At 40.3% G+C, this 24,109-nt stretch overlaps 1 protein-coding gene across 2 annotated transcripts, besides 2 other annotated features; it reads right to left on the bottom strand.

The window, feature by feature from the left end:
• Nucleotides 1-10,229: 10,229 nt before the first annotated feature.
• PBDC1 (polysaccharide biosynthesis domain containing 1) lies at nucleotides 10,230-15,482 on the bottom strand. Of its 2 annotated transcripts, NM_016500.5 has the most exons (6): nucleotides 15,376-15,482; nucleotides 14,894-14,959; nucleotides 13,595-13,654; nucleotides 12,931-13,071; nucleotides 11,552-11,663; nucleotides 10,230-10,928 (listed from the first exon to the last, which is right to left on the bottom strand). In NM_016500.5, exons 1-6 carry the CDS (start codon nucleotides 15,403-15,405, stop codon nucleotides 10,636-10,638), a joined length of 702 nt encoding a protein of 233 aa, NP_057584.2. In that variant the 5' UTR covers nucleotides 15,406-15,482; the 3' UTR covers nucleotides 10,230-10,635. The 2 variants fall into 2 exon arrangements, with proteins under 2 accessions (NP_057584.2, NP_001287817.1); NM_001300888.2 differs by lacking the exon at nucleotides 11,552-11,663.
• Nucleotides 14,613-15,470: an enhancer, noted in NCBI's record as "H3K27ac hESC enhancer chrX:75392909-75393766 (GRCh37/hg19 assembly coordinates)". NCBI's record gives its function as "activates a minimal SCP1, AML or CMV promoter by ChIP-STARR-seq in primed H9 embryonic stem cells {active_cell/tissue: H9 hESC(primed)}" and the evidence as "EXISTENCE:reporter gene assay evidence [ECO:0000049][PMID:30033119]".
• Nucleotides 15,100-15,399: an enhancer, noted in NCBI's record as "active region_29775". NCBI's record gives its function as "activates an Ori minimal core promoter by ATAC-STARR-seq in GM12878 lymphoblastoid cells {active_cell/tissue: GM12878}" and the evidence as "EXISTENCE:reporter gene assay evidence [ECO:0000049][PMID:35858748]".

Here is a 24,109-nt window from a genome sequence, read left to right as displayed (position 1 = left end):
TCTCTTCACCAATGATATGATTTTATACCTAGAAAACAATACTCTGCCCAAAAGCTCCCAGAACTGATAAATTACTTCAATAAAGTTTCAGGATACAAAATCAATGTACAAAAATCAGTAGCGTTTCTATACACCAATAACATTCAAGCTGAGAGCCAAATCAATAATGCAATTCCATTTACAAAAGCCACAAAATATAAAATACCTAGGAATACACCTATCTAAGGAAGGAAAAGATCTCTACAAGGAGGACTATAAAACACTGATGAAAGAAATAATAGATGACACAAACAAATAAGAAAACATTACATGCTCATTGATTAGAAGAATCAATGTTGTTAAAATGGCTATACTACACAAAGCAATCTACAGATTCAATGCTATCAAACTACCAACATCATTTTTCACAAAAATAGAAAAAAAAATTCCAAATGAAGCCAAAAAAGAGCTGGAATAGTCAAAGCAATCCTAAGCAAAAATAAAAAAGCTGTAGGCATCACATTACACAACTTCTAACTATACTACAAGGCTACAGTAAGCAAAATAGCATGATAATGGTACAAAAACAGACATATAGACCAATGAAAGAGAGTAAGAGAACCCAGAAATAAAGCTGCACACCTACAACCAACTGATCTTCAATAAATTTGATAAAAATAAGAAATGGGGAAAGAAGTTTCTAGTTAGTAAATGGTGCTGGAATAGCTGGCTAGCCCTATGCAGAAGAATGAAACAACCCCTTCCTTTTACCACATACAAAAATTAACATGCTGGATAAAACATTTAAATTTAAGATCTCTTACTATAAAAATCTTAAAAGAAAATCTAGGAAATTCCCTTCTAGATATCAGCTTTGGCAAAGAATTTATGACTAAGTCCTCAAAAGCAATTGCAACAAAAACAAAAATTAACAAATGGGACCTAATTAAAGAGTTTCTGCACACCAGAAGAAACTATTAACAGAGTAAACAGACAGCCTACAGGATGGAAGAAAATATTAACAAACTGCATCTGACAAAGGTGTAATATCCAGAGTCTATAAGTAACTTAAACAATTGAACAGGCGAAAAACCAATAACTTCATGAAAACGTGGGCAAAAGACATGAACAGACACTTCTTAGAAAAAGACATACAAGTAGCCAACAAATATATTTTTAAAAATGCTCATCTTTAATCATCAGAGAAATAAAAATCAAAATCACAGAGATACCATCTCACAACAGTCAGAATGGCTATAAAAATTTAAAAAATAACAGATGTTGGTAAGGCTGTGGATAAAAGGGAACATGTATACATTGCTGGGGGGAACGTAAATTAGTTCAGCCATTGTGGAAAGCAGCTTAGAGGTTTCTCAAAGAATTTAGAATTACCATTCAACACAGCAATCCCATTAGTGGGTATGTACCAAAGGAAAATAAATTGTTCTAGGCCATCACACCTGTAATCCCAGCACTTTGGGAGGCAAAGGTGGGTGGATCACTTGAGGCCAGGAATTCGAGACCAGCCTGGCCAACATGGTGAAATCCCATTTGTACTGAAAATACAAAAATCAGTCGGGTATTGTGGTGCATGCCTATAATCTCAACTACTCAGGAGGCTGAGGCATGAGAATCACTTGAACCTGTAAGGCGAAGATGGCAGTAAGCCGAGATCATGCCACTGCACTCCAGCCTGGGCGACAGAGTAAGACTCTTGTCTCAAAAAAATAAATCATTCTATCAAAGAGCCATATGCATTCATATGTTCATAGCAGCACTATTCACAATAGCAAACATGTAAAATTAACCCAGATGCCCATCAATGGTGTCAGGGATAAGGAAAATGTGGCACATATACACCATGAACCATGAAATACTACACAGCCATAAAAAAGAATGAAATCATGTCCTTTGCAGCAACATGGTCTCACTCGTAAGTAGGAGCTAAACATTGAAAACAAATATACATAAAGATGAGAACAACAGACACTGGGGACTACTAGAGGGGGAGAGTAAAGGAGGAGGTTATGTGCTGAAAAACTACCTATTGGGTACTATGCTCACTATCTGGGTGATGGGACCATCTATACTCCAAACTTGAGCATCATGCAATATACCCAGGTAACAAACCTGCACATGTGTTCCCTGAATCCAAAATTTAAAACATTTCAAAAACTAGCCAGTTATATAGTCAAGTGGCAGCAGTGTAATTCAGGAAACCAACAACGTATTGACAGTCGTAATGTTTTCACAATTCTAGAGATAGAAACATTTAGGCATGGCAAAATGACTGTTTACATAACATACATACATGCCTTTATTTTTGAACAATCAGTTATGATACTATTTATCTGAATGACAAATTTGTGAAAACAATAATGATGTAGCAAAGTTGGGTAATGAGAATTGTCCACACTGAGTGCAGGCTATAAAAAAGGTGTATTCTCTGTAGAAAATTTAAAAACAGAAAAACCAACTTTGTCTGCTTAAATTTTCATCATGCTCTGGCAATTTTAAACAATGTTAATGATAAAATACTTTTCCCCAGAAAAATATTTTCTTGGTCCAAGCTCTATACAATCGATGAAGTTACTGTTGAGTTTTATTAATATGTATACGTCAGCTTCAAATTAGCACATTCTCTTTAATAAGAATCCTATCGTCCATAAAGGTAAATTTAGAGAACTTCCAGTTATACCAATACCACCCAACACACACAAACTCAGCTATAGAGTTCCTGTGGAGAGTAAATTAAAAATGGTTTACAACCATTCAAGCTCACTTTGTATGCAGGTTATGTCTTCAGTCCTCTGGTACGACATATCCCTGTGTTTACAGTTTCAAAATAAACAATGACAGTGCAGTGAATGTCTCTACTTTTGGGGTAGTGCTCAGCATGTCTTCTTTATTAATTTCCTATTATTGATGTAACAAATTACCAAAAATTTTGTGACTTAAAACTTAAATATGGCTGCAGTTTTCCCTTCTGCAAGTGTAAAAAATTACTCTATACCTTTTTCCTGCCTCCAAAAGATGTCTTATTGGAATGCTACCACATTCCGAATAAATAGTTGTTTGCACACTATGGTAAGTCTGAATAACATCTTTCAAATAATTCAGAACAAGGACTCAAATCTCAAATTTCCTGCTAACTACAACGCTACAGTCCCCCTTCCTCTACTTTCCAATAATCTGTTCCTTACTTCCTTCTGAGCCCTCACCAGCAGCGTCCTTAAAGTCCTTATTTCTACTGAAAGTCTGTTTAAGGCAATTTGGGCTTTCTCTATCATGCTCCTCAAAATTCTTCCAGCCTCAATTCAGTACCTGATTTCAAAGCCCCCTTTCACATTTTAGTCATTTGTTACAGTGGCACTCCACTCCAAGTACCAAAGTCTGTGGTCGTTTTCTATTGCTCTGTAACAAATTGACATGTAATTAGTGGCTTAAGACAACACCCATTTATTATCGCACAGTCCTATGGGTCAGGAGTCCAGGTACAGTTTAACTGAGTCCTCTGTTCAGGATCTCACAGGGCTGAAGTCATGGTATCAATCTCATCTGAGGCTTGAGGTCTTCTACAAGCTCACTGGTTGTTGGCAGAATTCAATTACTTGCAACTTAAGAGTGAAATCCTGTTTTCTTGCTGTCGGACAGGGAACAATCTCAGGTCCTAGAAAGCCACTCTCATGTCCTTACCACAAAGTACCCTCCTCTCACAACATGGCTGTTTGCTTCCTCAAGGCCAACATGAGAACATCTGCTGTGGCCACTTGTCTAAGAGCTCACTTGATTAGGCAAGATCCACTCAGGATAATCTCCCCTTTGATTAACTCAAAATAAAATGATCAGTAACTTAATCACAGGAATAAAATTTCTTCATATTCACAAGTCATGCCCACACTGAAACAGATGGGAATTATAAAGGACATGTATGCCAAGTGGTGGTTACCTTAAGTCCATCTTAAGAATTGCTTACCGCACCAGAGCACCATTCTGCCCGCTCCTTTACCTCTAACTTTGGATACTGCCTTGAATTCCTGTTCCCTTATAGGGCAGCCACAGTATTCTTTGTATTTCCCTCCCTTTCCCCAGATTTCATCAACCAGTCTTTGGACAGATGCCTCTTGCTTTAAAGTACTCTGACTTTCAACTGCATGTTTCTTATTCTCTAAAACCAATCAGAGAGAAGTCATTAAGCACATTTTCTTACTGGTGAGCTACCTGGAAAAGGCCATCAGGGGCACAATTGTATGTGGCCAATAATCTTTATTCTTCCTCAGCCTGAGGCAATGTATATGAATGCACTTTTGTTAATATTTAATAAGATATGAACTAGAAAAAGTTAATACAGTAAAAGTTCTTAATAACAAAGTCTGTCTAGTATGAAGTATTTAACATTCTCTTACCCCTTTTAAAAATGACATTTTTATAAAACGAAGACTGTAACAAATGTTTTAAATATTTCTAAGAATTTGCCAAAGACAATTCATGGAGAAACCTATTTGCTTTGTGCACAATTGTTGCTGCTAGATGTATGCATCTACAGTTCAGCTCTTGCCTAGGGCATAACTTGTCAATTAGTTTTAATTTTATTTTTTCCCTGTGTCCACTGGAATAAAAAAAGCCTCATTTTCCCCTTCTCTGCTTTGGTAAATCCTTTCTTGCATCATCATGCTGTGGTTAGCCTTGTATTTACTGTATGTACTATAAACATTGTGGTTTCTTCTAACCAGTTTCAGCAGTCAAGTTCAGTGTGTCTATGAGGTAATGAATAAACTTTTATATACATGTGGAGATAACTGAAGCACGTACTCTGAAAAGCCATTAGACGGTGGCTGGCAAGATGGCCAAATAAGAACAGCTCCGGTCTGCAGCTCTAAGCGAGATCAACACAGAAGGCAGGTGATTTCTGCATTTCCAACTGAGGTACCCAGCTCATCTCATTGGGACTGGTTAGACAGTGGGTGCAGCCCACGGTGGGCAAACTGAAGCAAGGTGGGGCGTTGCCTCACCTGGGAAGGGAAAGGGATGGGGAACTCCCTCCCCTAGCCAAGGGAAGCCATGAGGGACTGTGCCCTGAGGACACTCAGGCCAAGATACTATGCTTTTCACATGGTCTTCGCAACCTGCAGACCAGGAGAGTCCCTATGGTGCCTATGCTACCAGGGACCTGGTTTCAAGCACAAAACTGGAATACCTTTTGGGCAGATACCAAGCTAGCTGCAGGAATATTTTTTCAAACCCCAGTGGCACCTGGAACGCCAGTGAGACAAAACCGTTCACTCCCCTGGAAAGGAGGCTGAAGCCAGGGAGCCAAGTGGTCTAGCTCAGCAGAACCCACCCCCACGGAGCCCAGAAAGCTAAGATCCACTGGCTTGATTTCTTGCAACCAGCACAGCAGTCTGAAGTCCACTTGGGACTCTCAAGCTTGGTGGGGGGAGGGGCATCTGCCATTACTGAGGCTTCAGTAGGTGGTTTTCCCCTCACAGTGTAAACAAAGCCTCCCAGAAGTTTGAACTGGGTGGATCCCACCGAAGCTGAGCAAAGCCACTGTAACCAGACTGCCTCTCTAGATTCCTCCTCTCGGGGCAGGGCATCTCTGAGAGAAAGGCAGCAGCCCCAGTCAGGGGCTTATAGATAAAACTCCCATCTCCCTGGGACAGAGCACCTGGGGGAAGGGGCGACTGTGGGTGCAGCTTCAACAGGCTTAAACGTTCCTGCCTGCCAGCTCTGGAGAGCAGTGGATCTCCCAGCACAGCGCTGGGGCTCTGCTAAGAAACAGACTGCCTCAAGTGGGTCCCTGACCCCTGTGTGTCCTGACTGGGAGACACCTCCCAGCAGGGGTCGACGGACACTTCATACAGGAGAGCTCCGGCTGGCATCCGGCGGGGGCCCCCTGGGATGAAGCTTCTAGAAGAAGGAAGAGGCAGCAATCTATGCTGTTCTGCAGCCTCTGCTGGTGATACCCAGGCAGATAGAGTCTGGAGTGGACTTCCAGCAAACTACAGCAGACCTGCAGGAGAGGGGGCTGACTGTTAGAAGGAAAACTAAAAAACAGAAAGGGATAGCATCAACATCAACAAAAAGGACGTCTAGACAGAAACCTCATCCAAAGCTCACCAACATCAAAGAGCAAAGGTAGATAAATGCACGAAGAGGAGAAAAAAACAGCACAAAAAGGCTGAAAATTTCAAAAACCAGAATGCCTCTTCTCCTTCAAAGGACCACAACTCCTCGCCACCAAGGGAACAAAACTAGGTGGAGAATGAGTTTGACAAACTGACAGAAGTACGCTTCAGAGGGTGGGTAATAAGAAACTCCTCTGAGCTAAAGAAGCATGTTCTAACCCAGTTCAAGGAAGCTAAGAATCTTGAAAAAAGGTTAGAAGAATGGCTAACTAGAATAACCAGTTTAGGGAAGAACATAAATGACCTGATGGAGCTAAAAAACACAGCATGAGAACTTCGTGAAGCATACACAAGGATCAATAGTCAAATCGATCAAGCATAAGAAAGGCTATCAGAGAATGAAGATCAATGTAATGAAATACAGTGTGAAGACAAGATGAGAGAAAAAAGAATGAAAAGAAGTAAACAAAGCCTCCAAGAAATATGGGATTATGTGAAAAGACCAAACCTATGATTGATTGGTGTACCTGAAAGTGACGGGGAAAATGGCACCAAGTTGGAAAACATTCTTCAGGGTATTATCCAGAAGAACTTTCCCAAAATAGCAAGAGAGGTCAACAATCAAATTCAGGAAATACAGAGAACACCACTAAGATACTCCTCGAGAAGAGCAACTCCAAGACACATAATCGTCAGGTTCACCAAGGTTGAAATGAAGGAAAAAATGTGAAGGGCAGCCAGAGAGAAAGGTCGGGTTACCCACGAAGGGAAACCCATCAGATTAACACCGGATCTCTATGCAGAAATGCTACAAGCCAGAAGAGAGTGGAGGGTAATATTCAACATTCTTAAAAGAATTTTCAACCCAGAATTTCATATCCAGCCAAACTAAGCTTCATAAGCGAAGAAGAAATGAAATCTTCTACAGTCAAGCAAATGCTGAGAGATTTTGTCACCACCAGGCCTGCCTTACAAGAGCTCCTGAAGGAAGCACTAAACAAGGAAAGGATCAACCGGTACTAGTCACTGCAAAAACATACCAAATTGTAAAGACCATCAACACTATGAAGAAACTGCATCAACTAACAGGCAAAATAACCAGCTAATATCATAATGACAGAATCAAATTCACACATTAAAAATATGAACCTTAAATGTAAATGGGCTAAATGCCCCAATTAAAAGACAAAGACTGGCAAATTGGATAGAGTCAAGACCCATCAGTGTACTGTATTCAGGAGACCCATCTCACGTGCAAGGACACACATAGGCTCAAAATAAAGGGATGGAGAAATATTTACCAAGCAAATGGAAAGCAGAAGAAAGCAGGGGTTCCAATCCTAGTCTCTGATAAAACAGACTTTAAACCAACAAAGACCAAAAGAGACAAAGAAGGGTATTACATAATGGTAAAGGGATCAATGCAACAAAAAGAACTAGCTATCCTAAATAGATATGCACCCAATAAGGAGCACCCAGATTCATGAAGCAAATTCATAGAGAACTACAAAGAGACTTAGACTCCCACACAATAATAGTGGTAGACTAACAGCCCACTGTCAATATTAGAAAGATAAATGAGACAGAAAATTAACAAGGATATTCACGGCTTGAATGCAGCTCTGGAACAAGCAGACCTAGTAGACATCTACAGAACTCTCCACCACAAATCAACAGAATATATATTCTTCTCAGAACCACATCACACTTATTCTAAAATTGACCACATAATTGGAAGTAAAAACTCCTCAACAAATGCAAAAGAATGGAAATCATAACAAACAGTCTCTCAGACCACAGTGCAATCAAATTAGAAAGTAGGATTAAGAAACTTACTCAAAACTGCACAATTACATGGAAACTGAACAACCTGCTATTGAATGCCTACTGGGAAAATAACGAAAAGAAGGCAGAAATAAAGATGTTCTATGAAACCAATGAGAAAAAAGACACAACATACCAGAATCCCTGGGACACAGCCAAAACAGTATTTAGAGGGAAATTTATAGCACTAAATGCCCACAAGAAAAAGCAGGATATATCTAAAATCGACACCCTAACATCACAATTAAAAGAACTAGAGAAGCAAGAGAAACAAATTCAAAAGTTAACTAAAGATAAGAAATAACTAAGATCAGAGCAGAACTGAAGGTGACAGAGACACAAAAACCCCTTCAAAAAATCAATGAATCCAGGAGCTGTTTTTTGAAAAGATCAAAAAAATAGATAGACTGCTAGCCAGGCTAATAAAGAAGAAAAGAGAATCAAATAGACACAATGAAAAATGATAAAGGGGATATCACCACTGATCCCACAGAAATACAAACTACCATCAGAGAATACTAAAAAGACCTCTATGCAAATAAACTAGAAAACTTAGAAGAAATGGATAAGTTCCTGGACCCATACACCCTCCCAAGTCTAAACCAGGAAGAAGTCGAATCCCTGAATAGACCAATAACAAGGTCTGAAATTGAGGCAGTAATTAATAGCCTACCAACCAAAAAAAAAGTCAAGGACCAGACGGATTCACAGCCAGATTCTACAAGAGGTACAAGGAAGAGCTGGTACCATTCCTTCTGAAACTATTCCAATCAATAGAAAAAGAGGGACTCCTCCCTAACTCATTTTATGAGGCCAACATCATCCTGATACCAAAGCCTGGCAGAGACACAACAAAAAAAAGATAATTTTAGGCCAATATTCCTGAAGAACATCAATAGGAAAATCCTCAATAAAATACTGGCACACCGAATACAGCAGCACATCAAAAAGCTTATCCACCACGATCAAGTCAGCTTCATCCTGTGGTTGCAAGGCTGGTTCAACATATGCAAATCAATAAACATAATCCATCACATAAACAGAACCAATGACAAAAAACACATGATTATCTCATTAGATGCAGAAAAGGCCTTCCATAAAATTCAACACCCCTTCATGCTAAAAACTCTCAATAAACTAGGTATTGATGGAACGTATCTCAAAATAATGAGCTATTTATGATAATCCGACAGCCAATATCATACTGAATGGGCAAAAGCTGGAAGCATCCCCTTTGGAAATCGGCACAAGACCAGGATGCCCTCTCTCACCATTCCTATTCAATGTAGTATTGGAAGTTCTGGTCAGGGCAATCAGCCAAGAGAAAGAAATAAAACGTTTTCAAATAGGAAGAGAGGAAGTCAAATTGTCTCTGTTTGCAGATGACATGATTGTATATTTAGAAAACCCCATCGTCTCAGCCCAAAATCTCCTTAAGCTGATAAGCAACTTCAGCAAAGTCTCAGGATATAAAATCAATGTGCAAAAATCACCAATAAACCAAAAATAGACAAACAGAGCCAAATCATGAGTGAACTCCCATTCATAATTGCTACAAAGAGAATAAAATACCTAGGAATACAACTTACAAGGGATGTGAAGGACCTCTTCAAGGAAAACTACAAACCACTGCTCTAGGAAATAAGAGAGGACACAAACAGATGGAAAAACATTCCATGCTCATGGAGAGAAAAAAATCAATATAGTGAAAATGGCCATACTGCCCAAAGTAATTTATAGATATAATGCTATCCCCATCAAGCTACCATTGACTTTCTTCACAGAATCCCCGTCTCTACTAAAAATACAAAAAATTAGCTGGGCATGGTGGCACGCACCTGTAGTCCCAGCTACTTGGGAGGCTGAGGCAGGAGAATCACTTGAACCCAGGAGGCCAAGGTTGCAGTGAGCCAAGATTGTGCCACTACACTCCAGCCTGGGAGTCAGAGTAAGACTCCATCTCCAAAAAAAAAAAAAAGGGGGTAGCTACTCTGTCTGGTTTTCCCTTTTTTTTTTTTTTTTTTTTGCTAGCTTTCAGGTAACATTCTGGCTACCAAAAGAAAAGCAAATACTGAAGCATGTCCAGTCTCTTGCTCTTCTAATATGAACTGGGCTGCATTCACTAGTTTGACAGGTTCAGGTTGCTGCTATTTATCAAATATTTTGTCATATATAGCAAAGAAATCAGGGAGTTATAGTCACTCAGAGATTAAGAGTCAATTCTTATGTAAGGACTTCTAATCCCAACACCAGGTATAACTTAACAAGTTTAGAGAACTTCACTACAGGAAACAGTGAGAAGCAGTAAGAAACAGGAGTAAATTATCTTATATAAGACATGGTGATGAGATTACATATTTGAAAAAAATTTCAAGTGTCAAATACCTTTTTAAAGTCAGTCACAGATATAGATAATAAGAACCAAAAGAAATTTATTTACAAATTTCTTACTTGACCAGTAGTGTCAGCCAAGAAACAGTATACCAGGAAAAATCAACTAACACCCCACTAACAGTCTTTAGACCAGTTCATACAAGGGAATGACCAGAGCAGCTCCTGACTGTTAGACTAGAAAGATGTCCTTCTGCGTATCCTTCAATTGTACAAGAATTTACATTTAACCAAAGGGGTCTGTGCAAGTAGCACCGTGGTACTTGTAGTCTCAATTGAGTCATAGCTTCTAGAGTGCTGTTCCCTGTATACCTTACATAGCTTTTTCACCACTTTTGTTGATTTCTTTGTCAGCTTCTTTCCCTTTTTCTCCTCCTTTGTCAGTTTTGTCTTCTCTGTTGATTCCTTCCTCTTTTTCTTCTCCACTATCAGCTCCTTTCTCTCCTCCATTCTTGGTGTTCTCTTCTTCTCCACTGTCAGCTCTTTTTTCTCCTCCATTGTTGACTCCTTTCTCTCCTTCTTTGTCCTGAACACTGATATAAACAGCTTTGTTATAGCCTTCCCGGTTCCGAGCAATTTCAATGGCAAAGAATTGTATCCTGGGGGCTGAAAAGTGAACAGAATTGATTATCATCCTACTCTCAGCTTATTCCCTAAATCTCTTTTTTTTGAGACAGGGTCTCACTCTGATGACCAGGGCTGGACTGCAGTGGCACAATCACAGCTTACTGCAGCCTCAATTTCCCTGGTTCAAGCAATCCTCCTGCCTCAATCTCCTGAATAGCTGGAACTACAAACACTCACCACTATACCTGGCTAATTTTTTAAACATTTTTGTAGAGATGGGGTCTCCCTATGTTGCCCAGGCTGGTCTCAAAATCCTCAGCTCAAGTGATCCTCCCATGTCAGCCTCCCAAAGTGCTGGTATTACAAGGCATGAGACACTGTGCCTGGCCTGTTCCCTAAATATGCTGGAAATCTACTGACAAAATTGAAATAACATGCAAACCATTCCAGTATAGTCATAAACTTCAGAGATCTTTAATTCCAATCTCATATTAATGAGATTGAAAATACTTAACTATCTTCAAGTTACATAAAAATAGCAACAAGATCTTTAAAGATGAAACAAGATAAGGTGACCTAACTATACACATCACTGATTCATCAGTAAAGCCAGACTGTTCAGTCTCCTTACACAGAAACAATTCCAGAGGGAAGAAACTCACCAAAGATGGTGTTTTCCTCAGTGTAGCCCTGAGAACAATCTAGTCGCAGCAAAGTACCATAGTTGAAGTCTTCAACAATCCCATTAAACTTCAAGCAGAATGGCCTCCACTTCTATAAAGGCAAAAACGATGCTTTAGCTGACAAATGCAAGAGGCTGACGTACTAAGGCCAGGAGAGGGACTTCCATTTTCCCAGTAAGGAAAATAATCATAGTGAGACTGGGATTGAGGTGATTGTTGGTTTCACAGTGAAACTAGCAATGCGTTTCTGTGCTACCTATTGTGTCTTTAGACTGCCATTTCCCAAGATGAACAATATTTTACTCTGAAAAATATATAAATCCTTTACTGCAGAATTAAAATATTATTTCTTAAGTCAATTGTTTTGTTTTGAAGTTATTGGTCAGTTCAGCCCAAAATGGTCATCTATCCCCACTAAAACACAAATGATTTTAATAAAGAAGTCCATTCAGTAGTGACAGTTTTCCAAAGACAAAGATCACTAACTGCCTGCTAGGAGTTAAAAGTGTAGTTTCTTGGCTGGGTGTGGTGGCTCACGCCTGCAATCCCAGCACTTTGAAAGACCGAGGCGGGCGGATCGCTTGAGCTCAGGAGTTTAAGACCAGCCTGGTCAACATGGTGAAACCCTGTCTCTACCAAAAATACAAAATATTAGCTGGGCATGGTAGCATGCACCTGCAGTCCCACCTACTAGGGAGGCTGAAGCAGGAGGACTGTTTGAGCTTGAGAGGCGGAGGTTGCAGTGAGCTGAGATGGCACCACCGCACTCCAGCCTGGGCAACAGAGTGAGACCCTGTATCAAAAAAAAAAAACCAAAAAACAAAAAACAAAACAAAACAAACAAACAAACAAAAACTTTAGATTCTTCATTAGCCAAGGGTTTACTCTCAAGGAAAACATTTTTTTCCTAACTGTAAATGTGTTAGTTTCCTATCAAAGTATAGGATAATCACATAAGCAATGAAAAACAAAAGTTTTCCAGTTACCCATGGCCTGTAATCACATGAACTTAAATCCAGAGAATCAAAACACCTTCCTATACCCTATTTGCCACTCCCCATCCAAGCCTTCTGGCTATACTACCTAAATAAACTGATCCATCCTCCTCTGAAAGGGCTGATGGGTGGAGATTTAAAATGTCCAAGACAAAAAGGAGAAAAAAATAGACTCAACAACATGAAAAGTCCATAAACTGGAAAAACATTCATTTCCTAACTTAGTTGATTACAACTAGAAAAGAAGTTCTGGTTCTTTACATATTTTTCTCAAACAAAAAAAGAGCTTAAATGTAAAAAAACATTCGCAATCAAAAATTGTTGGTTAAATGCTAAGTAATATTTAAGAAAGAGAATTTTTACCTCTTTGGCTGATTCTGACTTGAGTTCTTCTGGGTCCAACACATCTATCCTAAGGGTCTCAAAATTTTTCCGGAACTCAGAGTAAATTTGGTCATCTACTTTGGTGAGTTTCAGGAACTGTGGGTCAACTGATGAAATCAGCTGCGAAACAGTAAGACAACATACAGATGCTAGTCTGTAATTTACTATACTTCTATCTTCCCCATCCCCACCAGAAAACCTTTATGGTTCTCAGGGCAGAAGATCTCTTCAGGAAGTGTCGACAGTCTACATCCTAGATGAAATCATGACACAGTTTAAGGCCATAATATATTATTACAATCCCTTCCACCAATTTGGCAGTTGGCTTACTTAACCACAGTACTGCCTGGCTATTGCCCTCCGTGGATTGTTCATTCATTCAACAAACATTTATTAAGTGCCTACTATGTATGGGCCAGACGCCCTTTTGTCAGTTAGCATTATAACGCTGGGCAAAGCAGCAGAACTCATTGTAGAAACAAATTTGCCTTCGCTCCTCTGTTGTCTGTGGGTAAGAACTTACATTAATAAAAACGATCTCCAAAACACAACTGTTTAACTTGCTGAGAATAGTGATAAGCAGAGCATCATACACTATAATTACATGTTTAATTCTGCTTAATGATGAAGAAAGACAACTCACCTTGTAATAGACTTCAGCATGCTGCATTGCTCTCATGGCCCAAGCCATCTCAATGTCAGGCTGCAAAGGAGTGAAGAATGCCAGGTCATAAATCTCCCCATCCTACTACTGAATAGCAAATTAAGGAAGTATGTGGATGTCTAGTTAATGCTCAAGAGGGCTACCAAACTTGATGTTACTGTCAAATGATAAAAACTGGAGTAATAAATTTGGACAATAATTATTTTGTCTGTATGACAACCAAAAAAAGCTACCTACACAGTATAATGAACACAATGAGCCACCGGCTATCTTTTCCCAGCTGCTAGTGAAAGCTGGGAGACTAAATAAAGCAGGAGATAAATCACCTTCTCAGGATTGAGTTAAATCATTGTAAAACTGAAATAATATACCCATCAATTCCACTGAGTTGTTGGGAGAACAAAGAATCAAAATGAAAATTACTTTTCACTTTTAAGACTGAAGCATGTCATAATCATTTTTGTTTACCAAACAGCCAATTCCCCATACTGTAACACCTAGAAATGAATTAGCACATGAAACAGGTCAAGGTTATAATAAGTCTTACCAAGCACCCCACTGGAGGTTCCACTGGAATCTCCCATTCCAACGAGACCGAGCTATTTCACTGACTCCAGAAAAAGCCATTTGCATTTGTTACCTCCATGCCTTAGACCATGCACTTTTCCCACGTGCCAATCCATGTCCTTTGTCCACCTACACTTTGAGGATACAGGTAAAGCTCCATTTCCTCAGTCAAGTCTTCCACTGCCTTGGCCCCTTAGGGATTTCTCCTTCAGCTAAATTATTTGGATCTTATGGCCTGACCCACTCATTATATGTATCACACTCTTATTTGGGTGTTTTTACTATTCTCACATCCTCTTGTCTTGTTTTGGAAAATACCTCATATACTTTCTCAGTAATTTTCTAAACCAGACACACCATAAGCTGCACAATGGAATCCCTCAGAGACCCTTTAAAAATACTGATTCTTGGCTCTCATTACCCAGACATTCTGATTTAGGTGGTATGAACTGCAATCTAGGCAGCGGGATGTTTAAAAGCTCCCCAGTAATTCTAAAGCGTGGCCAACTTGGGGAACCACTTCCACAGGCGTTAGTCCTGCGTTTGTGGACCAAGATTAAAACGAACTGAACGAAGGTGCAGTTTCTGGTGTAAGTGGAGAGGGTCTGCAGTAGATTATCAGGACGTGAAGTTATAACTTAGTGGCAGGCAGGTCCTGCAGAGATCCCAGGCTAGCTGAGTGGGTGGGAGCTGTGGGTGAGTCATACTCACATCGTTGCCATACGACTCTGCTGGGAGAGAAAGCGCATGTGCCACAGACACCAACTCCCCGGAAACCTAGAAAGGAGGAAAAAGAGTTCAAGGCTCCCCCCAAGGCCGGGCGCGGTGGCTCCCCCCAAGGCCAGTCGCAGTGACTCGTGCCTGTAATCCCAGCACTTTGGGAGGCCGAGGCGGGCGGATCGCCTGAGCCCAGGAGTTTGAGACCAGCCTGGGCAACATGGCGAAACCCCGTCTCTACAAAAAATACAAAAAATGTAGCTGGGCGTGGTGGCACGGGCCTGTAGTCCCAGCTCCTCGGGAGGATGAGGTGGGCGGAAGATCTGAGCGCTGGAGGTCGAGGCTGCAGTAAGCGGTGATCCCACCACTGCACTCCAGCCTGGGCGACTGAGTGACACCTTGTCTCAAAAAAGAAAAAAAAAAGGCTCCACCTGGCTCGACCTCCCCACTCACCCGACCCCAGAACAGCGTCTCACCGGCTCATCAGTTCCACTGGTGGCCGCCATCTTGCAACCCCCGAAAGCGTGGCTCCTTCCGCAGCTGATTGGAAAGCTGAGCCGGATCAGAGTCCTTCTCAACTGGCGGCTCCACCGTGCGCTCTCCCTCCAGCTGAGGAAGTTGCTGGCCCCGCCTTACCCTCCCCGCACAGGCGCAGAGGTGGAGTACTGTTGCGTAGGCTGGACTGCTTGAGAGATCTGAGGTGATTGACTCGTCAGTAATTTTCGGTGGTGATCACGGGAAAAGGTTGTGTTAAAATAGTGCCCCTTTCTTGTCTTCACTGCGCCGTGTGCCCAGCAAAAATTCAAATTTACTCTCCATTCATATGCGCATATACGCACATGCGCATACACATACACACCAGTACCCCAAACCAGGGAGTGATTCACGAAAATGCATGGTGCTAGGGCGCAGAGTGCAGGAATGAAGAATTTAGTCCCTGCCTTGGAACAACTAGATATAGTGAGGGACCGGATACAGTAGTGCTCACAGCATAGCATCGGATGATGTGGGAGCATGAATGGGGGATACCTAAGCTGAATCATGAAGGGGAGCTTAGCCAAGCAGACAGGGAAAGACAGTCCAGGCAGAGGGAATAGCACAAACAAAGCCATTAGTGGCACCTTGCTGGGAATTACAAAAGCAGTATAGCTGAATCCAAAGTGGAGTCATCTATAATCATTTGAGGGAGCACAGGGCCTTTGGTATGCTGAATGTTAAAGAGTAGAGAGTTTACCCTTAGAGCAACAGTAAGCTACTGAAGATTTTTAAGTAGGCCAGCTTCATGGTCAGATTTAACTTTTATGATCACTCTAACACAACATAGAAGATTAATTTGAGGAAGACAAAATTGGAGACAGAGACACCAGTTTGAAGGCAGTGGGTGATGAAAATCTAAACTAAAGCAGTGGCAGTTGAGATGAATTTTGAGAATTAATGGGGCTTAGAATCAATAGAACTTTTTGACTAATTTCATGTAGAGGATAAAGGGGAATTTGGATTCTAGTATGACTCCCAGATTTCAGAATAGGATTTGGGCATAAATATCGTTGAGCAAGGGAACACAGAGGAGAAATGATGAGTTTAATTTGAGAAGTTAAGTTATAAGAGCCTATGGGTCATTCAGATAGAATTGACCAGGCAGAGGGAGATCTGATCAGAGATAAATTTGATAGTTGGTACTTCAGGTTTAGTTGAGCTTTCATAAGAAATCTCTAAAGTACTGTAAAGACATAAAAAGCAGCAGGTCAAGCATTTATGAAGGAAAAAAGGCAGCAAAAAAAAAAAGTTGTCGATTGTCTGTCAAAGAACAAGGCAGAGCCTCACAGAAACCAAAGGATGTAAGAGCTTCTAGAAATAAGTGGTGAGCAGACCCCAGTACTCTCAGTTGAGTATACTAAGCATAAAAATATAGGGAGGTTGACAACCTTAGCAAGAGCAGGTTTAGTGGAATGGTCATTGACAACCTGAACAAGGGCAGAAGTCAGATGGTAGTGGGTTGAAGAGGGAGTGGGAGATAAAGAAGAGATGTTAGTGATCATGGAAAGTTCTTCCAAAACAGGTGCAGCTAGAAAGAAACATGAGGTCTAGGGACTTTAAAAAAAAAATCGGGGTAAAGATCAGATAATATAAAAATTTACCATTTTAATCATTTTTAAGTGTACACTTAGGTAGTGTTAAGTATATTTACATTGTTGTGTGACAGATCTCCAGAACTTTTTCATCTTGCAAAACTGAAACTCTGTATGCATTAAAGAACGATTCTCCACTTTCCTCTCCTTTTGGCCCCTGGTAGCCACCATTCTATTTTCTGTTTCTATGAATTTAACTATGTTAGACACTGCTTATAACTGGAGTTATACAGTATTTTTCTTTTGGGGACTGAATAATGTCCTCAACTTTCATCCACGTTGTAGCATATGACCGGATTTCCTACATTTTTAAAGCTGAATAATATTCCATTAACGCCGGGTGCGGTGACTCATGCCTGTAATACTAACACTTTGGGAGGCTGAAGTAGGCGGATCACTTGAGATCAGGAGTATGAAACCAGCCTGGCTAACACGGTGAAAGCCTGTCTGTACTAAAAATACAAAAAAATTAGCCAGGCATGGTGGCGGGTGCCTGTAATCCCAGCTACTTGGGAGGTTGAGACAGGATAATTGCTTGAACCTGGAAGGCAGAGGTTGCACTGAGCCGAGATCGCGCCACTGCACTCCAGCCTGGGCAACAGAGTGAGATTCTGTCTCAAAAAAAAAAAAAATCCGTTGTATGTAAATACAACATCTTGTTTATCCATTTATTCATCGATAAACACTTGGGTTGCTTTCACCTTCTGGCTATTGTGAATAATGCTGCTATGAACATGAGTGTACAAATATCACTGTGAGAACTTGCTTTCATTTTTTTGGATATTTACCCAGAATTGGGATCACTGGATCATATAATTAATCATATGGTTAATGGGTCTTATTTTTAATGTTTTAGGAAACCCAGGCACTTCAAAAATTATTTTCAGTTTAGAGAAACTTAAGAGTACAGAGTAACTGGCCTTATGCAAAATACCGTCCTGGAGGATGTGCTAGCTCTATCTCCAGAGAAACTTCATGAATGAAGAGAGATAGCAAAAGTAGGAAATTGTGGTGTTCCCTCCAGACACCTTCTGTTTTCTCCATAAAGTGTAAGAGGGCAGCTCAGCACAAGAGGGAATATGTTAAAGTCTTGTCTTTAACAAGTTGCTTGCTCTGAATAGCAACTCAGGGGAGTGGAAGAACCAATCAAACAGGGAGATGGAGGGAAGTTTTTAGGGAACTACTAAAGCTGGAGGACATGGTTTTTCAAAGGCAGCAGTCTCCATGTAATACAGAACTCTGAATGTAAGATAAATCATCCACATGTATGCCGAATGTTAGTAAATGCAGGGGCATTACCAGGAGGTCAGTAGAGTAGCATAGAGGTATAGACTCAAGTTGATGGCCAAATTGGTTCATAATAAATAGACAAGAATAAATCCAAGAGACCCAACTGGTCTTTTACTTGAGGAAGCATTTGAGTAATTTGCTTTATCTAATATTTTGAGGAAATTCATTGCCTTTAAATTTATTTATTTATTTATTTATTTATTTATTTATTTATTTATTTATTTTTGAGACAGTCTCACTTTGTCATCCAGGCTGGAGTGCAGTGGCACGATCTCAGCTCACTGCAACCTCTGCCTCCCAGGTTCAAGTGATTATCCTGCCTCAGCCTCCCGAATAGGTGGGATTACAGGTGCGCACCACCTGTAATAGCTGGGCTATTTTTTTTTTTTATTTTTAGTAGAGACGAGGTTTCACCATGTTGACCAGGCTGGTCTCGAACTCTTGACCTCAAATGATCCACCCACCTCGGCCTCCCAAAGTGCTGGGATAACAAGTGTGAGCCACCACGCCTAGCCTGCCTTTCAATTTAAAAACCCATTAAAATGTGTAATATGTGAATACTTTGTTTTTTAGGGTTATTTTTTATTGTTTTAAATAAGGTAACTAGGCTGGATGTGGTGGCTCAAACCAGTAACCTCGGCAGTTTCGGAGGCTGAGGCAGGCGGTTTGCTTGACTCCAGAAGATTGAGACAAGTCTGGGCAATATGGTGAAACTCCATTTCTACAAAAGAAAAGTTTTAAATTAGCCTGGAGTGTTGGCACATACCTGTAGTCTCAGCTATTAGGGAGGCTGAGGCAGGAGGGTTGCTCGAGGCTGGGAGGCCAAGGCTAGCTACAGTGAGCCACGACCGTGCCACTACACTCTAACCTGGGTGACAGATCAAGATTCTACCTCAAATAAATACATAGATACATATATACATACATAACTATAAAATAAGATAAATACTCACTACTCAACCACTCAGACTTAGATACTTGTAGAGACCAGGAATTGACTCCTCCCAATATTGCAAAAGCCAACTGCTTCTGTATCACAAAACAGCAGGAGATAAAACTGTCACCTGGAGCTTTTCATATTGCCAGGCAAGGAAACCAGCCTAGGCAAAGTTATCAGAATATGTGTTTGCCTTTACCTTATTTCGGATAGACTCAAAATAGTTGGCTGTTAAAACAAAGGAGAGAGGAATCAGTCAAGAACAAAAGGCAGGAAATAAAAAGGGAGGGTTGGTGGACTTTAAGAGCTATATCAGGCCAGGCACAGTGGCTCAGGCTTGTAATCCCAGCACTTTGGGAGGCCGAGGCAGGTGGATCACGAGATCAATAGATTGAGACCATCCTGGCCAACATGGTGAAAGCCCATCTCTACTAATAATAAAAAAAATTAGCCGGGCGTGGTGGCACACACCTGTAGTCCCAGCTACTCAGGAGGCTGTGGCAGGAGAATCGCTTGATCCGGGAAGGTGGAGGTTGCAGTGAGCCAAGATCGCACCACTGCACTCCAGCCTGGTGACAGAGCGAGACTCCGTCTCCAAAAATAAAAATAAAAAATAAAAATAAAAAAAAAAACTACATCAAGAAAAGACCTTTTGGTGTTGAGTAAGAAAACTGGGGATGGAAATCCACTGGTATGATTTCCTCTATTTTTTTGGAAGGACTCCAATGAGTTGTTCTTTAGCTTCCTAGACGGGTAATGGGAATATGCCATCAGTGGAACCAAAAGGCATCACTAATCCTGATTAAAAGGCTAAGGCATCTATAACACAAGGTATCCAAGGAGTGTGGAGAAGGTAAAAATTATAATTGGTAGGAGACAGGGTAGAGGAAGGCAGTGAGTTATCAAACATGAGTTTGTCAGTAGCAAGGTAGTTAGATGAGTACTGCTATTTGCAGTTGGTTAAACCATGTACATACTACCTAAGAAAATGGATTACATGGTCTTGGTGGCTGTCAGACTATATGAGAAAGGCAATTTGAAAAATGTCGAAGCTGGTCATTAAAAGCTGGGAGGACAAATAGGGCTACAGTGAGAAATCATGTAAGTTAGTTTGCTATAAAAATATAAAATCTGGATAATAAAGGTGTTTCTTGTGACAGGTGTGGTTCATGATAATTACAGGAGATGACTCATATCCTCGTATAAGGCTGCTTAATGTGAAAGCAGGATGTTAAAGAGGACATCTCTATTAATCATGTTAACAGGATATGTTCTATGGTCAGGAGAAAGTGCAACGGTGACCTCGGGATGCCTTCCCAGATTAAGTCTTGTCCCAGACACCTTGTAGTAATACAGCTTCAAGATATATAAAGCAAAAATTGAAAAAAGTACAAGCAGAAATAAGCAAAGTCATTAAAAGATATATTTTAACACGTCTCTCAGCAATTGATAGCTCAAACAGCCAATAATTTAATAAGAATTTAGAAGTTTCAAACAACATAATAAAAATACTTGATTTCATGAGTACACAGCCCTAAACCCAACAATTATATACTATGCATTATTTTCAAGCATCCATGAAACAGTTGTAATAATTACATTACAATATGTGGTGAAGTATGTCTCAAAAAGTAACAAAGAGTTAATACCAGGTATGGCTTCTAGCCTAAATTGATGTATGAACTAGGTATAAACTAGCCATACCTGGGATAATGAGCTCAATGAGTTACTGAACATGAATTGAGTAGCAAAATAGGCCATGTAGACACTCTTCAGGGACATGATTCTTATGGTCTGTTTGGCTATTAGACTACAGACAGGAAAGCAAACTTGGTTGGCTTAGAAACCTGTTACCAAAAGCTGGAAGCAAAAAAAAAAAAAAAAAAAAAAACCCTGGGGCTGTAGTCAGAAATATTGTGATAGAGTATTCCATGAGAGGAGAAAACCTGGTTAACAAAATGTAATGGGGAGCAAGTAAAATAAGTTGTTTGTGCCATCTTGCTGAAACTGTTACATGTGAGAATGGTGATCCTGTCCCCGGACTGTTTTGTGGTCAGGAGTAAGTACAATAGTTCTTTGAGATGCCATTCTGGCCAACCTGACACAGTTGTTACAGGAGATGACACAATGTATTGCATCCCTTATGACATGAGGACTCACAAATCCCTGAAGATCTTGTTGTCTTGAGGTGCAGTGGCCATCATGACACGGATGCCATCAATGTCCCTCCCTTTTACATTCACTAGTCTCCATAAACCCCTCTCGGCATTTTGTCATATCCAGAATTTCTTCTCCATCCTTTCTCTTTGTCATTAACAGTAACTTTAGTGCTCCAAAGGGTACTGTAGTAAGATAGTGCTGCCAGGCTGGCCATGAACTACAGGTACTGCTATATTGTAGCTGGTAAACAGATTTGCTTCTCAGGAAGGGAAACTCAAGAAAAACCATCCAGTATCCATAATACCATCTAGTGATAAACTTAGACCTTGAAATCAAGTCCTAATTCTTTTACATACCATTTTAGAACAGGGTCTCATTTAAAAGAATTAAATGAGCACAAAAATACCTAACTGTGGCATTATTCTGAAATCATTCATGTAGTGTGGAACATAATCTAATTAGGAGAGTGGCTCAATTAATGGAAGTTATGCTCTATAGTATAAATGTTTTTGTCCCCTCCAAAACTGACTTTGAAACTTCATCCCCAGAGCAACAGTATTGGGAGTTGTGGCCTTTGGGAGGTGATTGGGGTAGAGCCCTCATGAATGGGATCAGGCAATCTTATAAAAGGGCCTGAAGAGGAAGTTCACCCCTTGTTGCCTTGTCTGTTCCCTTTGCCATGCGACAGACAACACAGAGTTCCTACCCTCAAGAGGATGCAACAACAAAGTATCATTCATAGAAGCAGAGAGGCCAAGCCCTCACCAGCTGGTGCCATGATCCTGGATTTCCAAACCTCCAGAACTGTGATAAATAAACGTCTACTGTCTATAAATTACCTAGTCTGTAGTATTTTGTTAAAGCAGCACAAATGAACTAAGATACTATGATTTTATTTACTGTAATAAGCAGCTGCATGCAGAAACTATGGGCTGCTCCCTCATGCTATCTGCAGCACAACTGAAAAAAAAAAAAAAAAGCCCTGCATGATCCTTGAACACTGTACCAAGGACCATAAGATATTTCAGGCTTCTTGGAGAGCAGAAAGATTTGATGACACATTGAAAGCAGCAATGTCTTATAAATAAATGGAACCTGAAGAATATGAGATGGGCCCAATCAACAGAACTCACAGATAAATTCTACTATCCCTGGGGAAACTGGGAAGCAAAGTTGTCCCTTCAACCTTGTGCATACTTAGGGAGCATGTAGGTTTTGTGCAAGCAGGTTTTGAGGGTACAAAAATTTTATACTTTGAGAAACCGGCAAGAGAGGCCAGTGAGTCAGAGTAGAAAGTATCCTAGAAGGAAGGGCTTCCTTCCTTCCATGGAGATATTTATCTTTCACATCTCACTTACGCTGTCCCTGGTGTTGTAGGAGATTATGTCACAATCAACAGACCAGGCCTCAAAGAGACCTGAGATTGATAAGAGAGGGCTCCCATTATACAGCTGGATGTAATTTCGCCATCCTATCTAAGATGTATTAATATCTTAGTGTAGAGACCATGGTTCATTTTGCAGAGCATTTTAGGGTAGCACAAGAGATGGTATCCACTTTCAGTGTGATACCATCGCTTTACCCTTAGTGGGGCTTGCATTTCATTTAGTTTACATGTTATCTCCTTTGTGTGTTCCTTATTTCTATATATATACTTTAAGTTCTGGGGTACATGTGCAGAACATGAAGGTTTGTTACATAGTTATACGCGTGCCATGGTGGTTTGCTGCACCCATCAACCCATCACATACATTAGGGATTTCTCCTAATGCTCTCTCTCCCCTAGCTCCCTACCCCCCAACAGGCCCCAGTGTGTGATGTTCCCCTCCCTGTGTCCATGTGTACTCATTGTTCAACTCCCATTGATGAGTGAAAACATGCGGTGTTTGGTTTTCTGTTCTTGTGTTAGTTTGCTGAGAATGATGGCTTCCAGCTTCATCCATGTCCCTGCAAAGGACATACACTCATCCTTTTTTATGGCTGCATAGTATTCCATGGTGTATATGTGCCACATTTTCTTTATCCAGTCTATCATTGATGAGCATTTGGGTTGGTTCCAAGTCTTGACTATTGTGAACAGTGCCACAATAAACATACATGTGCATGTGTCTTTATAGTACACTGATTTATAATCCTTTGGGTATATACCCAGTAATGGTATTGCTGGGTCAAATGGTATTTCTAGTTCTAGATCCTTGAGAAATCACCACACTGTCTTCCAGAATGGTTGAACTAATTTACACTCCCACCAACATTGGAAAAGTGTTCCTATTTCTCCACATTCTCTCCAGCATCTGTTGTTTCCTGACTTTTTAATGATTGGCATTCTAACTGGCATGAGATGGTATCTCATTGTGGTTTTGATTTGCATTCCTTTAATGACCAGTGATGATTAACTTTTTTTCATATGTTTTTTGGCTGCATAAATGTCTTCTTTTGAGAAGTGTCTGTTCATATCCTTTGCCCACTTTTTGATAAGGTTGTTTGGTTTTTTTTTTTTTGGTTTTTGGGTTTTTTTGTAAATTTGTTTAAGTTCTTTGTAGATTCTGGATATAAGACCCTTGTTAGATGGATAGATCGCAAAAATTTTCTCCCATTCTGTAGGTTGCCTGTTCACTCTGATGATAATTTCTTTTGCTGTGCAGAAGCTCTTTAATTTAATTAGATCCCATTTGTTAATTTTTACTTTTGTTG

This window comes from Homo sapiens, chromosome X, assembly GCF_000001405.40.
Source record: "Homo sapiens chromosome X, GRCh38.p14 Primary Assembly".
Lineage (NCBI taxonomy): Eukaryota > Metazoa > Chordata > Mammalia > Primates > Hominidae > Homo > Homo sapiens.
This window is presented reverse-complemented; position numbering and strand designations above follow the sequence as displayed.